At 39.0% G+C, this 17,112-nt stretch overlaps 1 protein-coding gene across 22 annotated transcripts in view; it reads right to left on the bottom strand.

Moving 5' to 3' along the window:
- ZNF420 (zinc finger protein 420) overlaps positions 1-17,112 on the bottom strand; it is a 122,467-nt gene that overhangs the window by 28,437 nt on the left and 76,918 nt on the right. For 9 of the 22 annotated variants that reach the window (XM_011526503.3, XM_011526504.3, XM_006723038.4 and 6 more), the window contains 2 exons: positions 12,805-12,893; positions 10,811-10,937 (listed from right to left, as the gene is read on the bottom strand). The exons of 4 other annotated variants lie outside the window; for them this stretch is intronic. In XM_011526503.3, the coding sequence (XP_011524805.1) occupies positions 10,811-10,937; positions 12,805-12,813 (136 nt within the window). In that variant the 5' untranslated portion in view covers positions 12,814-12,893. Of the gene's footprint in view, positions 1-1,884; positions 5,009-5,816; positions 5,902-10,810; positions 10,938-12,804; positions 12,894-16,873; positions 16,907-17,112 lie in introns of those variants that run through there. 9 more of the 22 variants (NM_001329517.1, NM_001329519.1, NM_001329521.3 and 6 more) reach the window with 5 other exon arrangements.

Raw genomic sequence — 17,112 nt, 5'->3', positions numbered from 1 at the left:
ACAAGATAGGCTTGCCAGCCTCTGTCCTGTAGGACAGCAAATCCTGAGGGGGCCCAGTCTCAGCTCCAGCCCTCTCACTGTAATTAGAGACCTATCTTGCCTGTGCAAGGACCTGCTGAAGGCACACCCATCTGGGCCACCAGGACAGTCTTCTGGGCTCAGGTCCCTGTCTGGACTCCCATACAGCACCAGTATCCTTCTTGGGTTTTCTCTAGGTCCACCCAGGTGGAGAGCCACAACAACCTTGGAGCCCTTGCAAGGCTAGCAGGAAGCCTGGGCTTAATGCCCTTTAATGCTGAGATGGATGCAGTGGTTACAGGCTCAAGGGAATACAACAGATAGATAGTCTGCTTAGAATGTCTGGAAGGCCTTTGGAAGAAGGATGGGCACAAACAAAGCTAGACTGTGAACTTGATTGATTGACTGATTGATTGATTGAGATGGAGTCTTGCTCTGCTGCCCAGGCTGGAGTGCAGTGGCATGATCTCAGCTCACTGCAACCTCTGCCTCCAGGGTTCAAGCAATTCTCCTGTCTCAGCCTCCTGAGTAGCTGGGACTACAGGCACACACCACCATGGCCAGCTAATTTTTGTATTTTTAGTAGAAATGGGGTTTCACCATATTGGTCAGGCTGGTCTTGAACTCCTGACCTCAGGTGATCCACCCGCCTCAGCTTCCCAAAGTGCTGGGATTACAGGCGTGAGATACCAGGTTCCGGCCTGCAAACTCTTGAATAAATTGCTCAGTGCACAGACATCACGTGTCCATAAACATCAAGAACATTCAGGAAAATATGAGCTCAACAAATGAACAAAATAAGGTGCTAATGACTGACAAAATCAATGTACAAAAATAAGTAGCATTTCCATAGGCCAACAGGAAACTGTGAAAAGGAAATCAATCCCATTTATAATAGATAGCAAAAAAAAAAAAAAAAGGAATAAATTTAACCAAAGAGGCAAGAGTTTTACAATGAGAACTATAAACATTGACAAAAGAAATTAAAGAGGAAACTAATAAGTGGAAATATTTTCCATGTTCATGGATCAGAAGAATTAACATTGTTAAAATGTCCATACTACCCAAAACAATCTACAAATGCTATGCAATCCCTATCAAAATACCACCAATGACACTGCACAGAAATACAAAGAAGAATCCTAAAATTCATATGGAACCACAAAAGTCCCCAAACAGCCAAAGCAATTTTTTTTTTTTGAGATGGAGTTTTGCTCTTGTCGCCCAGGCTGGAGTGCAATGGCACACTCTTGGCTCACTGCAACCTCCACCTCCCAGGTTCACGTGATTCTCCTGCCTCAGCCTCCTGAGTAGCTGGGATGACAGACGCCTGCCACCACACCCAGCAATTTTTTGTATTTTTAGTAGAGATGGGGTTTCGCCATGTTGGCCAGGCTGGTCTCAAACTCCTGGCCTCAGGTGATCCACCTGCCTCAGCCTCCCAAAGTGTTAGGATTACAGGTGTGAGCCACTGCGCCAGGCCGCCAAAGCAATCTTGTACAAAAAGAACCAAGCTGGAGGCATCAAACTCCATGACTTGAAAATATACTACAAAACAATAGTAACCAAACAGTATGGTATTGGCATGAAAACAGACACATAGACAAATGGAACAGGATAGAGAACCCAGGAAAAAAAAAATCCAAGTATTTGCAGCCAACTGATTTTCAACAAGAAGGCCAAGAACACACATTGGGAAAAGGATACTTTCTTCAGTAAATGTTGCTGGGAAAACTGAATATCCACCTGCAAAAGAATGAAACTAGACCCCTGTCTCACCACTCAACTCAAAATGGATTAAAGACTTAAATGTAAGACTGGAAACTATGAAACCAGTAGAAGAAAACACAGGGAAACAGACACTGATCTGGGCAAGGATTTTTTAATAATACCTCAAAAGCACTGACAAATGCAAAAACAGATAAACATACTACATCAAAGTAAAAAGCTTCTGTACAGCAAAGGAAATGAGAGTAAAGAGACAACCTACAGCCTGGGCATGGTGGCTCACATCTATAATCCCAGCTCTTTGGGGGGCCCAGGCGGGCAGATCACAAGGTCAGGAGACTGAGACCATCCTGGCTAACACAGTGAAACACCGTCTCTACTAAAAATACAAAAAATTAGCCGGGCGTGGTGGCATGTGCCTGTAGTCCCAGCTACTCTGGAGGCTGAGGCAAGAGAATCACTTGAACCTGGCAGGCGGAGGTTGTAGTGAGCCGAGATTGCACCACTGCACTCCAGCCTGGGTGACAGAGCGAGACTCCATCTCAAAGCAAACAAAAAAGAGACAACCTACAGAATGGAAGAAAATATTCACAAACTATGCATCTAATAAGGTGTTAATACCAAGAATATATAAGAAAGTCAACTCAACAGCAAAAAAACAAATAATCTGATTAAAAAATAGTCAAAAGATTTGAATAGGCATTTCTCAAGACATACAAATGGCAAACAGGTAAATGAAAAAATGCTCAATATCACTAATTATAGGGAAATGCAAATCGAAGCTACAATCAGATATCACCTCACTGCTGTTAGAATGGCTATTAAAAAGACAAAAGATAACAAATGCTGGTAAAAATGTGGAAAAAGGGGGAACTCTTACACACTCTTGGTGGGAATGTAAATTAGCACAGCCATTATGGAAAATAGTATGGAGGTTTCTCAAAAAAGTAAACATAGAACTACCATATGATCCAACAATCTAACTACTGGGTATACATCCAAAGGAAAGGAAATCAGTATGTCAAAGAGGCATCTGCATTCCCATGTTTACTGCAGCACTATCCACAATAGCAATAACATGGACTCGAACTCAGTGTCCATCAAAAGATAAATGGATTTTCAAAAATGTGGTATATATGCAGAATAGAATACTATTAACCTATAAAAATGAATAAAATCCTGTTATTTTTGACAACTTGGATGAAGCTAGAGGACATTATATTAAGTGAAATACGCCAAGAACAGGACAAATATCACATGATCTCACTCATATGTGGAACCTAAAAAAGTTGATCTCATATAAGTAGAGAGTAGAACAGTGGTTACCAGATGCTGAGGGGGTGGCTGGGAAGAGATTGGTCTATGGGTACAAAGTTATAGTTAGATAGGAGAAATAAGTTCTGATGTACTATTGCACAATAAGGTGACTATATAGTCAACAAAAATGTCCTGAATGCCTGCAGATAGCTAGAAGAGAGCATCTTGAATGTCCTAACCACAAAGAAATGACAAGTGTTTGAGGTGACAGATATGCTAATTATCCTGATTTGATAATTACACAATACACATATGTATAAAACATCACATGGTAGCCCATAAATATGTGCATTATGTTTCAACTAAAATAAAACAAAACTTTTAAAAGTGTTTATGAAAAAACCTATTAACGCAACAGTAAATTAGAACTGGATGAAACAGATGAAAAACATGAAAAATAACCCATGAAGATATAATAACTGATATACAGCAATAACCACATAAAAAATTTAAATTTGAGCTCAGTGTCTGTGCTCCTAAAAGGCAATAGATACCTATGACTGATGATCATTTGTATCTGCTGGTCATAGTACCTATTATATCTAATATTCAAGGCAATAGATTCCAGTGACTGGTAGGTTTACTGGCAATATTATCCAAACATTAAAGAATATATAGGCCGGGTGTGGTGGCTTATACCTGTAATCCCAGCACTTTGAGAGGCCAAGGCAGGTAGATTGCCTGAGCCCAGGAGTTCGAGACTAGTCTGGGCAATGTGGCAAAACCTCATCTCTACAAAAACTACAAAAATTAGCCAGGCATGGTGGCACATGCCTGTAGTCTCAACTAGGATCACCTGGGCTCAGGGAGGTGGAGGCTGCAGTGAGCTGTGATCAGGCCACTGCACTCCAGCCTAAGTGACAGAGGGAGACCCTGTCTCAAAAAAAAGAAAAAAGGATATATAATTCCAATCGTACATAACTGTTGTTGAACATATAAAAATATTGTAATCTACCCTAGTCATTTTACAAAGTTAAATTAACTAGTATAACAGCATTGAAAAATGACCTTAGGAAAACGAAGCCAATCTCGTGAACAAAGGTAAAATTTTAAAAGAAAATATTAGGAACATAGAATCTAGCTGTGTATTTAAGGCATAACACATCATGATCATATAAACTTTATCCCACAAATGCAGGAATAATTCAACATCAGAGTCCATTTTCCCACATAAAGAACTTAAAGAATAAAATAGCATGATTTCAAGAAATGCAAAAAAATTTTTAATATATTCTAAGACCTTTTATTAAAAGTTCTCTAAAACTGGAATTAGGTAAAAACCTAGTTAAGAGTATCTACCAGATGTCTATAGAAATACATTTAATAGTTAAACATTAGAAACACTGCCAATAAAGTTTGAGAAAAGATAAGAATGATTTGTTTTCAAATTCCGCTACAGGGTCCTACTGAATTTAGTTGCCTTTTTTTAAAGGTACAAACAGAAAAGGAAGAGACCACATATTGTATGTAGAGAGCAAAACTGTCCACCTAGAAATCCACTATAATCCACTGAAAAACTATATTTCCATAAGATTTTCAATTTATAGAAATCAATACTTTCTCATATATAATATATATCAGTATTAGCCATTTAGAAAATGTTACAGAACAAAATATTCCTATTCATATTATAAACAAAATGTACTGAGAAATTGCTTAAGAAATGTGCAAGATCTTTTAAGAAAAAACCATGAAACTAATCCCAGCACTTTGGGAGGCCGAGGCAGGCAGATCACAAGGTCAAGAATTCAAGACCAGCCTGGCCAACATAGTGAAACCCTGTCTCTACTAAAAATACAAGAATTATCTGGGTGTGGTGGCAGGTGCCTGTAGTCCCAGCTACTTGGGAGGCTGAGGCAGGAGAATCCCTTGAACTGGGGAGTCGGAGGTTGCAGTGAGCCGAGATCACGCCACTGCACTCCAGCCTGGGTGACACAGCGAGACTCTGTCTCAAAAAAAAAAAAAAGAATAAGAAAAAACCATGAAACTTTACAGAGAACATAAAAAGAAAAGCAGATTTAGCATGCTGAACAATAAAAGGATTCAATATTGTTAATATGTAAATGGTGCATCCGATTTCTTAAAAAACACTAACAAATACTGGAAAAATATGACAGATGTCCTTTTAAAAGTATGTGAAGCATAAAAGAAAGTAAACAAGATCCAGGGGTGCTACAATGAAGTAGGAACCAGAAAGTAGATGGAGTAAATATGCTCTGAAGTTACAGTTACCCTTGGGATATTTGTTGATTTTAATTACCTAGATGTTTGTATATTAATGGTCTGAAAAAACTGAACAGACAAGACCTTTCCTCAACAAAAGAGCAGGGATTACAAACAAACCTCTTTACAAAATTGGAAATATTCAAGACATAAAGTTCAGAGAAAGAAAAACAAATCCAGCAAACCTTAAAGGAAAATGACAAGGGACTTTTCAGTCTTGGCCTGGACTCTCAAAGAAAAGGAGAAAAAAAGTGCTATGGATAATTCATCATTACACAAGAGTCCCCATGGATACAAGAAACAGCAAAATTAGACCTGTTTCCCAGAAATTGGGATTGTATGACACATAAGTGCTGGAAATATATGAAAGTATAAGATAAAAACCATGAGAAAGGGATGAGCTTAAAAAAAAAAGATCTGGGAGAGGGGGAGAACATCAAACATCTAGAAGTGAAACAATATAATCAATTACATTTAAATCTTAAAGAAAAAAATCTTAAAAGCAGCCAGAGAAAATACAGATTACTTACAAAAGGAATAACAATGAAACAGATGGCAGACTTCTCAAGAGCAACAATAGAAGCCAGAGGACAGTGGAATAATATCTTCAGAGTGCTGAGAAAAAAATAATTGTCAGTATAGAATTTTATACCTAGTTAAATCATCAGGCAAGAATGACAGTGAAACAAGGTTATTTTGCAACAATGACAAAAACAAACACTTAGAGCATTTATTAACAATAAGACAGGCCGGGGGTGGTAGCTCACACTTGTAATCCCAGCACTCTGGGAGGTGGAGGTGGGTGGATCACCTGAGGTCAGGAGTTCGAGACCAGCCTGGCCAACATGGCGAAACCCCGTCTCTACTAAAAATTAAAAAATAAGCTGGGCTTGGCTGCGGGCGCCTGTAATCCCAGCTACTGGGGAGGCTGAAGTAGGAGAATCGCTTGAACCTGGGAAGCGGAGGTTGCAGTGAGCCGAAATTGCGCCACTGCACTACAGCCTGGGCAACAAGAATGAGACCCCATCTCAAAAAAGAAAAGAAAAGAAAAGAAAAAAATAAAACCAATAAGCCTTCCCTAATGTATTTCATGATAAATAAAATATCCCAGAAGGAAGGTATAATGAAAGAGGAATAGCATACAAATAAAAGATAATTACATCAACAAATCCACAAGCAAACATTGCCATTATGAAACAAAAATAATGCCCATTTTGTAGGTTAAAAAAAGAACAGAACTAAAATACCAGACAACAATACCAGATTGGAGAAACAGATCAAAGTTAAAGCATTTCAATATCCTTTAATTATCTTAAGGAAAGTTAGACATGAATTTTAGACTTCACTAAATTAAGCATGTATTTGTCAAGTGACACAAACAATAATGATAATTACTAAAGTACCAAAACAGGCAGAAATACCCCCAAAGTATTTAAATTCACCGGCAATGGCAGAAATGTTCTTCTGTTTTTCATCTACAAATCAACAAAGATATTTCTTTTTTTTTTTTTTTTTTGAGACAGAGTCTCTCTCTATCACTAGGCTGGAGTGCTGTGGCGCGATCTTAGCTCACTGCAACCTCCGCCTCCCAGGTTCAAGCGATTCTCCTGCCTCAGCCTCCTGAGTAGCTGGGATTACAGGCATGTGCCACCACACCTACCGAATTTTTGTATATTTAGTAGAGATGGGATTTCATCATGTTGGCCAGGATGGTCTTGATCTCTTGACCTCGTGATCTGCCCGCCTCAGCCTCCCAAAGTGCTGGGATTACAGGCGTGAGCCACCGCGCCTGGCCTTAACAAAGATATTTCTACGTGCTAATAGCCACTGTTGATAAAGTATATAATAGATATACATTGCTGGTATACTTCTGATAAGAATTCTGTGACAATAAAATATATATTTGACATAGAGATGTCAATTTCTTATCTCTCCTTAGAACCTCAACTAATTGCCACAAAGGTTACCAATTTATTTCACAGTAGATACTATTATTTATATGTCTGTTTTTCAACTTGCTGGCCTTGAAATCCTAGGGGTGGAGATAGAGCAAGTTTATTGCAAAGCAATATGCAAACCAAATATTGTATGTGGACTGAATAAATATGTTTTAGTATCCATCAAAATATATAATGTCCATTAAATATATAATTTTCAGACACAATTACAATCAATAAAAACTATAAAATACCATTGACATTAAAAGGAATTAGGTACACATGATAAAAATTTAAAGATAACTTTTAAAAATAAATAAATACTGTACGTTTTCCAAACAAAACAAGGGGGAAAATGGAGTTGCAAAAAATAAAACACGATTGTATCCACCCTCATTAAGGAGGGAGAAAGTTTTTTAAGCCCGTAAGATAAAAAGAGGAAACAAAAAGCATAAAATAGGGGATAAATAAATCCAAGTATATTGGTAATAAATTAAATGGAGTGAACATTCAATTAAAAAAAATTCTCAGATAATACCACAGTGCAGTGGTTATCAAACATGGCTAAACATTTGAAAAACCTAGAGAATTTCAAAAAATATGATACTCATGTACCATGCCTAGAAATTATTATTTAATTGGTCTGGGGTGTGGCCTGGGCTGTGGAATTTTTTAAAAGACCGTAGCTATTTCTAAAGTACACACAAGTTTGGCAACCATTTCCATATTATTTCTGCACAATTCAGTGGCTTTTAGTATACCCACTGAGATGTGCAACAATCACAACAATCTAATTTTTAAACATTTTTTCACCCCCAAGAGAAATGCTGTCTGTGTTCATTAGCAGTCACTTCTCATCTCCCCACTCCCCATTCTCCATCTGTTCTACCTCTTCCCCATCCCCAGTGCTGGGTAACCAGTAACCTACTTTCTGTCAGTATAGATTTCCCTATTGAGGACGTTTCATATAAATGCAATCATATAATATGCAGTGTTTGTATTTGGCTTCTTTCACTTGGCATGGGATATAGTTTGGATGTTTGTCCCTTCCAAATCTCATGTTGATGTAATCTAACATTGAATGTAATCTCCAGTGTCAGAGGTGGGGCTTGGTGGGAGGTGTTTGGATCATGGGGGTGGATCCCTCATGAATAGCTTCGTGCCATCTTTGTGGTAAAGAGTGAGTTCTTGGCCGGGTGCACTGGCTCACGCCTGTAGTCTCAGCACTTTGGGAGGGAGGTGGGCGGATCACGAGGTCAGGAGTTTGAGACCAGTCTGGCCAACAAGGTGAAATACCATCTCTACTAAAAATACAAAAATTAGCTGGGTGTGGTGGCAGGTGCCTGTAATCCCAGCTGCTGGGGAGGCTGAGGAAGGAGAATCGCTTGAGCCCAGGAGAAGGAGGTTGCAGTGAGCCAAGATTGGGCCATTGCACTCTAGCCTGGGCGACAGAGCAAGACTCTGTCGTGAGTTCTTACGCTATGAGTTCACGCGAGATGTGGTTGTTTAAAAGAGCCTGAATTTCCTCCTCTCTCTCTTGCCCCCTCTCTTGCCAGTGACACACCGACTCCCCCTCCCTTCCACCATGACTAAAAGCTTCCTGGACCTCACCAGAAGCCAAGCAGACACTAGTGCTATGCTCGTACAGCCTCCAGAAGCATGAGCTAAGTAAATCTCTTTTTATTATAAATTACCCAGCCTCGGGTATTTCTTTATAGCATGTTTCCAAGGTTCATCCATGTTAAAGCATGTATCAGAACTTCATTCCTTTTTATTGCTGAATAATATTTCGTTTTAAGAAAATACCAAATTTTATCCATTCATTAGTTGATGGACATTTGGGTTGTTCCCACTTTTTGGCTATTGTGAATATCAAGATATAGTGCACTTCTGCCTTCAAATCTTGAGAATGCCTGGTACTGTCAAGCTGCCAATTTATAGCATGTGAAATAACTATATCATTGTGGTTTTAATTTGCACTTTTTTTTTTTTTTTGAGACAGAGTCTCCCTCTGTCGCCCAGGCTGGAGTGCAGTGGCACAATCTCGGCTCACTGCAACCTCTGCCTCCTAGGTTCAAGCGATTCTCCTGCCTCAACCTCCAGAGTAGCTGGGATTACTGGCATGCGCCACCATGCTCGGCTAATTTTTTGTATTTTTAGTAGAGACGGGGTTTCTCCATGTTGGTCAGGCTGGTCTCGAACTCCCGACCTCAGGTGATCCGCCCTCCTCGGCCTCCCAAAGTGTTGGGATTACAGGTGTGAGCCACCGAGCCGAGCCCAAAGTTCTTAATATGTAATATTCAACTACCAAGCACATACAAGACCGCGCCCGGCCAACCATTCCCTCTTTTGAAAGTGGGAAGAATGATAATAAAAACCAACAGGGAAAGGACGCAGTAGAAATTAGGTAAGAGTCTTTAGGAAGATCATGGTGAAAAACCCTTGCTTTTCTCCTCAAGTCATAGGTTTTTTTCCACACCACTTGGGTCCTCTAGGGACATGTGTTAATCACTGACTTCCTAAAGGCTTCAGAGGAGAAAGGAAGGAAGAGGCAAGAGACAGTTTATTCCAGCACAAGGAATAAAGTTATCATGTAGGTTGGAAAATCACTTATTAAAGTTGTAATTGATACGGATTTTGTTTCATATAAAAATACTACAGAAGAAAACAATAAAGTTTCTTAGACAATCACAGGTTCCCCCTCAACTATTTTACAATAAAAGATGATTCTAGCATATTCATTCAATGTCCAATGCAAGTTCTTTTTTTTTTGTTTTTTGAGATGGAGTCTCGCTCTGTCATCCAGGCTGGAGGAGTACAGTGATGTGATCTCAGCTCACTGCAACCTCCACCTCATGGGTTCAAGCAATTCTCCTCCCTCAATCTCCTGAGTAACTGGGATTACAGGCACACACCACCATGCCCAGCTCAATTTTTGTATTTTTAGTGGAGATGGGGTTTCGCCATGTTGGCCAGGCTAGTCTTGAACTCCTGACCTCAGGTGATCTACCCACCTTGGCCTCCCAACGTGCCGGGATTATAGGCGTGAGCCACCGAGCCCAGCCCAAAGTTCTTAATATGTAATATTCAACTACCAAGCACATATAAGACAATGTGTTTGTTCTAATTAATGGGTTGTCTTCATTTGAGTTGTTGGTGAAATGCATTGATCTACTCTATCACTATACAAATGATGTAAACTCTTTTATCAGAAAAAACATACATCTCTGCATCTATTTTTTAAATCTGTGACTGGGCGTGTGAATTATTTAGAGCTCCTTTAGCAGATCTAAAGTGTAACAATGTATAGGCTGTTTTATCTGCCAATATTCCAAGTATCCCAAACTTCAAATCTAGCCCTTTGTTCATCAGGGAAGATGGTATTAGAAGGCAGTGGTAAGGCTTTTTGAAGGATGGAAAAGATAAAGGTGCCCTGAGAAACCATGTCTACTTCCAGTAATTTCAAACTCCTCCTTTGAAAAGAATAAGAAATTCAGTTAATTACTTAAAAAGGAAATTTGAAATAACAGCAGAGAAAGCAGCCAATCCAAAGGTAGATCCTGAAATATGAAGGCTAGATTCCTTACCTAGTGATACCAAGTTGCTATAGTTCTCCAACATCACATCTCTATACAAATCTCTCTGAGCAGAGTCCAGGCATTCCCACTCTTCCTGAGAGAAGTCAATGGCAACATCCCTGAACATCACTAATTTCTGAAACAACAAACAAAATGTTAATTTTGGAAATTTAAAAAATGCTTTTCTTTTTTTCTTTCTTTTTTTTTTTTTGAGATGGAGTCTTGCTCTGTCGCTCAGGCTGGAGTGCAGTGGCGCGATCTCGGCACGCTGCAACCTCCGCCTCCTAGGTTCAAGCAATTCTCCTGCCTCAGCCTCCTGAGTAGCTGGGATTACAGGCACCTGCCACTGCGCCCAGTTAATTTTTGTATTTTTAGTAGAGATAAGGTTTCATCATCTTGGCCAGGCTAGTCTCGAACTCCTGACCTTGTGATTCACCCGACTAGGCCTCCCAAAGTGCTGGGATTACAGGTGTGAGCCACTGTGCCCGGCCAAAAAAATACTTTTTCAATGGAGAGGGAGATGAAGATCCCTCCACAAAGGAAGCAACAGAGCACATGGGCTGAAAAGTACAAATATGTTCCTGATTATTCCTATTGCTATAGTTTTGTTGTTGTTGTTTTGGAGACAGGGTCTTGCTCTGTCATCCAGGCTGGAGTGCAGTGGCACCATCATAGCTCACTGCAGCCTCCAACTCCTAGGCTTAAGTGATCCTGTCTCATTCTCCTGAGTAGTTGAGACCACAGTACGTGCCACTCACAGTACATGCCACTGTGCCCTGATAATTTTCCAATTTTTTTGTAGAGACAGGGGTCTTGTTATGTTGCCCAGGCTAGTCTTGAATTCCTGGCCTTAAGGCTTAGGCCTCCCAAAGTGCTGGGATTATAGGTGTGAGCCACTGCACCTGGCCTGCTACACATATTTTCTGCATACAGAACATCTTACTTTACAGATAAGTCTGGGAATAAAATAAATGCAATGTCCCAATTAAAAGAAGTAGCATACACAAGCATTTTATACAATATGTATATTGTGTATCATACATTCTCAATAAATGTAAGTTTCTCTCTTCATTATTTAAGGAATAAACAAAATGGTAAAATTTTTCTGTAAAACCTTATAAAATAAGATTTGTATAAAATTAAAGAATTTATTGAAGCTCCAGATTCACCATTAGATCAGAGTACTATATCATAAACATTTTCCTTGTCATCAATAATTTAGTAAATATTTTATAGGCTACAGAATAGCTCCATATAATGAATATGTCTGACTTAATAAGTGCTCATATTTGAACATTTTAGGTTGTAAAAATCTTGTAAGTATTTCTTGGTTCTCAGAGTTTATAATTCTCAACAACTTCTGCTGGTGAATGATCATCTTCACTATGATCATATTTACCATTCATCCGTAAATGTAACTTTTCATCATTCTAAACAATAGAAAGGTGAAAAACATAATCCAAATTTATACATTCAAGACCAGCACATAATGTCGAATTTCAAATTGATCCATATTAAATTATATGTTCCTGGGGAAGATCCCTGATCTCTCTGTATTCAGTCCCTAATCATCTTCCTAATCTTAAAAACTCATAAAGCATGAGCGCTTGCCACATACTGAGAGTGAGCCCAGTCAAGACCAACTCCTGTCTTGTCTACCTGGGAACTTAGATCTAAAGAGAAGTTCAAAAGGTTTTCATGTGTGGTGCCATTTAACATCCTCCTCTACCTTATGAAATCAGGGAACTCTACTTTTGTTAGATCAGTGTTCCTAGTCAAAGATTACTGAACAATATACATATTGTTGAGTAAGTATGTGACTAAAGGTTAGATTCGAAAGACACACTTAGGGAAGACACTATCACTTATCAGAATGGGACAAACTGAGGAGCACATTCCTGAGTGAGGTCAGTTAGGAATGAAGTTTCAGGAGTAAGGAATACAAACACACACATGCTCTGTAAAAAAGTAAGTGAAAAGAGCACAAGGAAACTCCAATTTACCCGAGCCATGGTTTTTAGAGCTGCAAGAAATGATCAGTCCTCTTCTGGGTTCCTATCTTAGGAAAGCACAGAGTCTGGAGAATGCAGAGCTACGGAGGAGAAAGCAGAACCATGAGACCAGGTGTTTTGCAAAGTAACAAATGATTCAGTTGGAATTATCTTTGTTGTTCTTTTCTTCCTGTTTCTCCCACCCCCAAAACACACACTAAGGGGGACAGACATATGTTGTGGTTCTTAACTTGATCAAACTCAATGCTTTCTATATACAAAAAGAAAATATAACAATGTCTCTACTACTTCTGAAATGAAACTCATAGGTAATAACGACACATCTATAGATGTCAAAAATGGAGATAATGAACAACTTAATATTTCAATATATTTATGATCATACACAACTACATTAGAAGGCACAAATAATTAAATGCTTATGCCTACAATTACTTATAATGAAGAAATTTAGACTTATAAAATGACAATATGTAACTAAGTATTGTTGACACCTTTTATATTTGACATTTTGAAATAAAGGCTAAATATATGTGTGTTCATGTGTACGTATAGAATAAATAGAAATGCATTATCTATAAATGGAGGTTTCTATACATATTTGCTATAGGCAAGACAAATAACACAATTAGCATTGCCATCAATACTATAACTTTTTGAAATGGTTAAAAAAAACTCAGTAAATTTCTTAAGCGAAGTAGAGCCTTTTTCTCAATCAAATCATGGTTGCATTCCTGGAAGATACAGCTAATAGTAAAACCATCCAATAATAGGAAAGTAGATAAATTCAGCAAATTGAAAAAGTCATGCACAAAATGCATTATGTAAGAGATTCCAGACCTGGAAAATCATAAACACATTTTTTCCAGGTATGGTTCTCAATTTTGCAAATCACAGACAATTTTTTGTTATGCACTGATGGACAACTAAATCATAACTTGGCAAACTACTGTCTACCAACTAATTTTGTAAATAAGGTTTTATTGGAATACGTCCATACTCATTCAGTTATATAGTGCCTTTGGCTACTTTCACACTACAGCAGCAGAGCTGAAGAGTTGCAGCAGAGACCATGTGGCCCGCAAAGCCATATGAAATGTCTAGCCCTTTACAGAAAAAGTTGGGTAATCTCTAACCTAGATCCGAGACCTCACTCCTTCAAAAGCTAGAAATCGGCCGGGTGCAGTGGCTCACGCCTGTAATCCCAGCACTTTGGGAGGCCGAAGCGGGCGGATCACGAGGTCAGGAGATCTAGACCATCCTGGCTAACATGGTGAAACCCCGTCTCTACTAAAAATAAAAAAAATTAGCCGGGTGTGGTGGCGAGCGCCTGTAGTCCCAGCTACTCAGGAGGCTGAGGCAGGAGAATGGTGTGAACCCGGGAGGCGGAGCTTGCAGCGAGCCGAGATCGCGCCACTGCACTCCAGCCTGGGCGACAGAGTGAGACTCTGTCTCAAACAAACAAACAAAAAAGCTAGAAGTCTTTACCCTCAACCCACTTACTTTAACATTCAACAGTACCTAGATATATTTCCAAAACACCCTCTAGGGAGAATAACTGCCCCTGCAGAGAATCATTGATACAGGTGCTCAATACATTTTTAACTGAAAATTTGACTTCTTCAACATATAGATTTCTGCAAGAGATACTTGGGCCCATCCTAACAACCTAAAAATAATTCAGATAAGATGAAAAGTCATAATTTCTTTTAAATTCATCAGAGAGCTGAGGGCACAAATTTAAAAGACCTAAACTCCAAAAAAGTGCCAAGCTCTTAATTTTTATTTATTTATTTATTTATTTATTTATTTATTTATTTATTTATTTTTTTTTTTGAGACAGGGTCTCACTCTCAACCAAGCTGGAGTGCAGTGGTATGATCATAGCTTACTGTAACCTTGAACTCCTAGGCTCAAGTAATCCTCCCTCCTCAGCCTTCGAAGTAGCTAGGACTGCAGGCATGTGCCATCATACTCACCTAATTTTTACTTTTTTTGTTGGGATGAGGTTTTGCTACATTGCCCAGGCTGGTCTTGAACTCCTGGCCTCAAGCAATCCTCCTGCCTCAGCCTCCCAAAGTGATGGGATTATAGGTATAAGCCACCACATGTGGCCCTAAGCTCTTCTTAAGAGCCACATATGGATGCTCCCATCTATGGCAGAGCTTAAACTAAATTGTATTAATAATAGTTCAACCATTCCAATAAAAAAATGGTAACAAGACAAGATAAAAATGCATGTTCCAACTACATGCTCTTTACAAGAAGCACATTTTAAATATAAAGATGGGCTAAAAGTAAAATGGGAAGATACACCATCAAACTCTAATCACAAGAAAGCTTGTATGCCTATATTAGTATAAGACAAAATAGACTTCAAGATAAAGAGAAATACTAGCAATAAGGAGGATCAACTCATCAAGAAGACAGCAATCCAAATGTAGAGATTTAACAACAAAGCTTCAAAATGTGTGAAGCAAAAATTGACAGTACTAAAGGAAGAAAGAGACAAACCCACAGAGTTGGGAATTGTAAAATCTTTTGCTCAGTAACTGACAGAACAAGTAGACAATAAAATCGATAACAATATAGAGGATTTACATACCACTATATCAAGTACCTTGGCCAAGATGATAAATATATATTAATAGAATACCACACCCACTTACCAAAAGCCAAGCTGGGCTGAAGAGAACTGAGCTGCAAGGTGTTGGAATAAGTGATTAACACAACCAGCCTTTAATCACTTAGTAGTCACTTAATTTAAGAGGCTAACCCAGAGAAAGCGCTGAGTACTCCACTGTTTCACTCCCCCAACCCCAACCATGAAATAGCACCTGGAGAGGGTCAGAGAGGGTCAGGCAGATCAGTGCAAATGTGGATCAGTGCAGAAGTGAGTCATCTCACTGCTAAGGGAATGCAGAACAAAAAGCTCCTATCATTCATTTTATGGACTGGGACCAGGGGACAAGAAGACAAGGGAAGGGCTAAGAGTGAAAAAGTAGTGAGGCCTGGCTGGGCACGGTGGCTCATGCCTGTAAGCAACCCCAGCACTTGGGGAGGCCGAGGCAGGAAGATTACTTGAGGCCAGAAGTTTGAGACCAGCCTGGGCAACATAGCAAGAATCTGTCTCTACAAAATAATAATAATAATAATAATAATAATAATAATAATAATAATAAAACATCAGCCAGGCATTGTGATGCAAACCTGTAGTCCTAGCTACTTGGGAGGCTGAGGCAGGAGGATTGCTTGAACTGTCCAGGAGTTCAAGGCTGCAATGAGCTATGATCATGCCACTACACTCCAGTCTGGGCGACAGAGCAATATCCTGTCTCCAAAAATATGTTAAAAAAAAAGAAAAGAGAAGAAAGAAAAAAGAAATAAAGAAAAAAATTAAAACTACCGGATACTAAGAGTGGGGAAAGAAAGTGTCTTCAAAGTTTCCCCTCTCCCCTAGATTAGGATGTCCTCTTGGCAGAGGCACCTGATAAAGAGGCCTCCTAATGGAGGTGCCTGGGTTAGGAATGTAAACACGCATAACAGCATGGCTGGTCTGGGAGGCCTGAGTCCTGCACTGCAACTCCCTTTAGAGACTGTAATGCACTAGAAGTGCACCAAGTCTGCTGCGGGGAGGCCACCTTTCCCCTGTGTGGCCTGCCAGGAATGACCTGGTGGAGCCTGAGAACCCACACATAGGATTTTAGCAAGAGTCAGACTCTTCATTAACAACTGCGTATGGAAAGGTCATCAAAATAAACCAGATGCTGGGTCATAAAACAAGTAACAGTAAATATTTTAAAAACTGAATTATACAGAGAATATACTGTGGTCAGTGTCCACATATTATTAAATTACAAACTAGTAACAAGAATCTCCAAATATTTGGAAATTAAACATACTTCTAAATAACCCATGCAAAAAGACATTGAAAAATATGCCGAACTGAGTGACAATGGAAACACACTTATCAGATTCTGTGAGCTGCAACAAAAGCAGTATTTAGAGGAAAATTAATAGTGTTAAATGCTTATGTTAGAAAAATGATTTAGGCTCCCACCTTAGGAAGCTGGAAAAAGAAGAGCAAGTGAAGCTGAAAGTAAGAAGAAAAGAAAGAATAAAAATAAGCACAAAATCCACAATATAAAGTAGATTACAATAGAGAATATCAACAAACTCAAAAATCAATTCTTTCAAAAGATTAATACAGTTTACAAACCCCTATCAAGTTTTCAAAAAAAAATATTACCAAAGTGGAGACTGGACCACAGATTTTTTAAGGCTTTAATTAAAAAGATA

The sequence above is a fragment of the Homo sapiens genome, chromosome 19 (genome assembly GCF_000001405.40).
Source record: "Homo sapiens chromosome 19, GRCh38.p14 Primary Assembly".
NCBI lineage: Eukaryota > Metazoa > Chordata > Mammalia > Primates > Hominidae > Homo > Homo sapiens.
The sequence above is the reverse complement of the archived record's forward strand: the minus strand, read 5'-3'. Positions and strand labels throughout refer to the sequence as shown.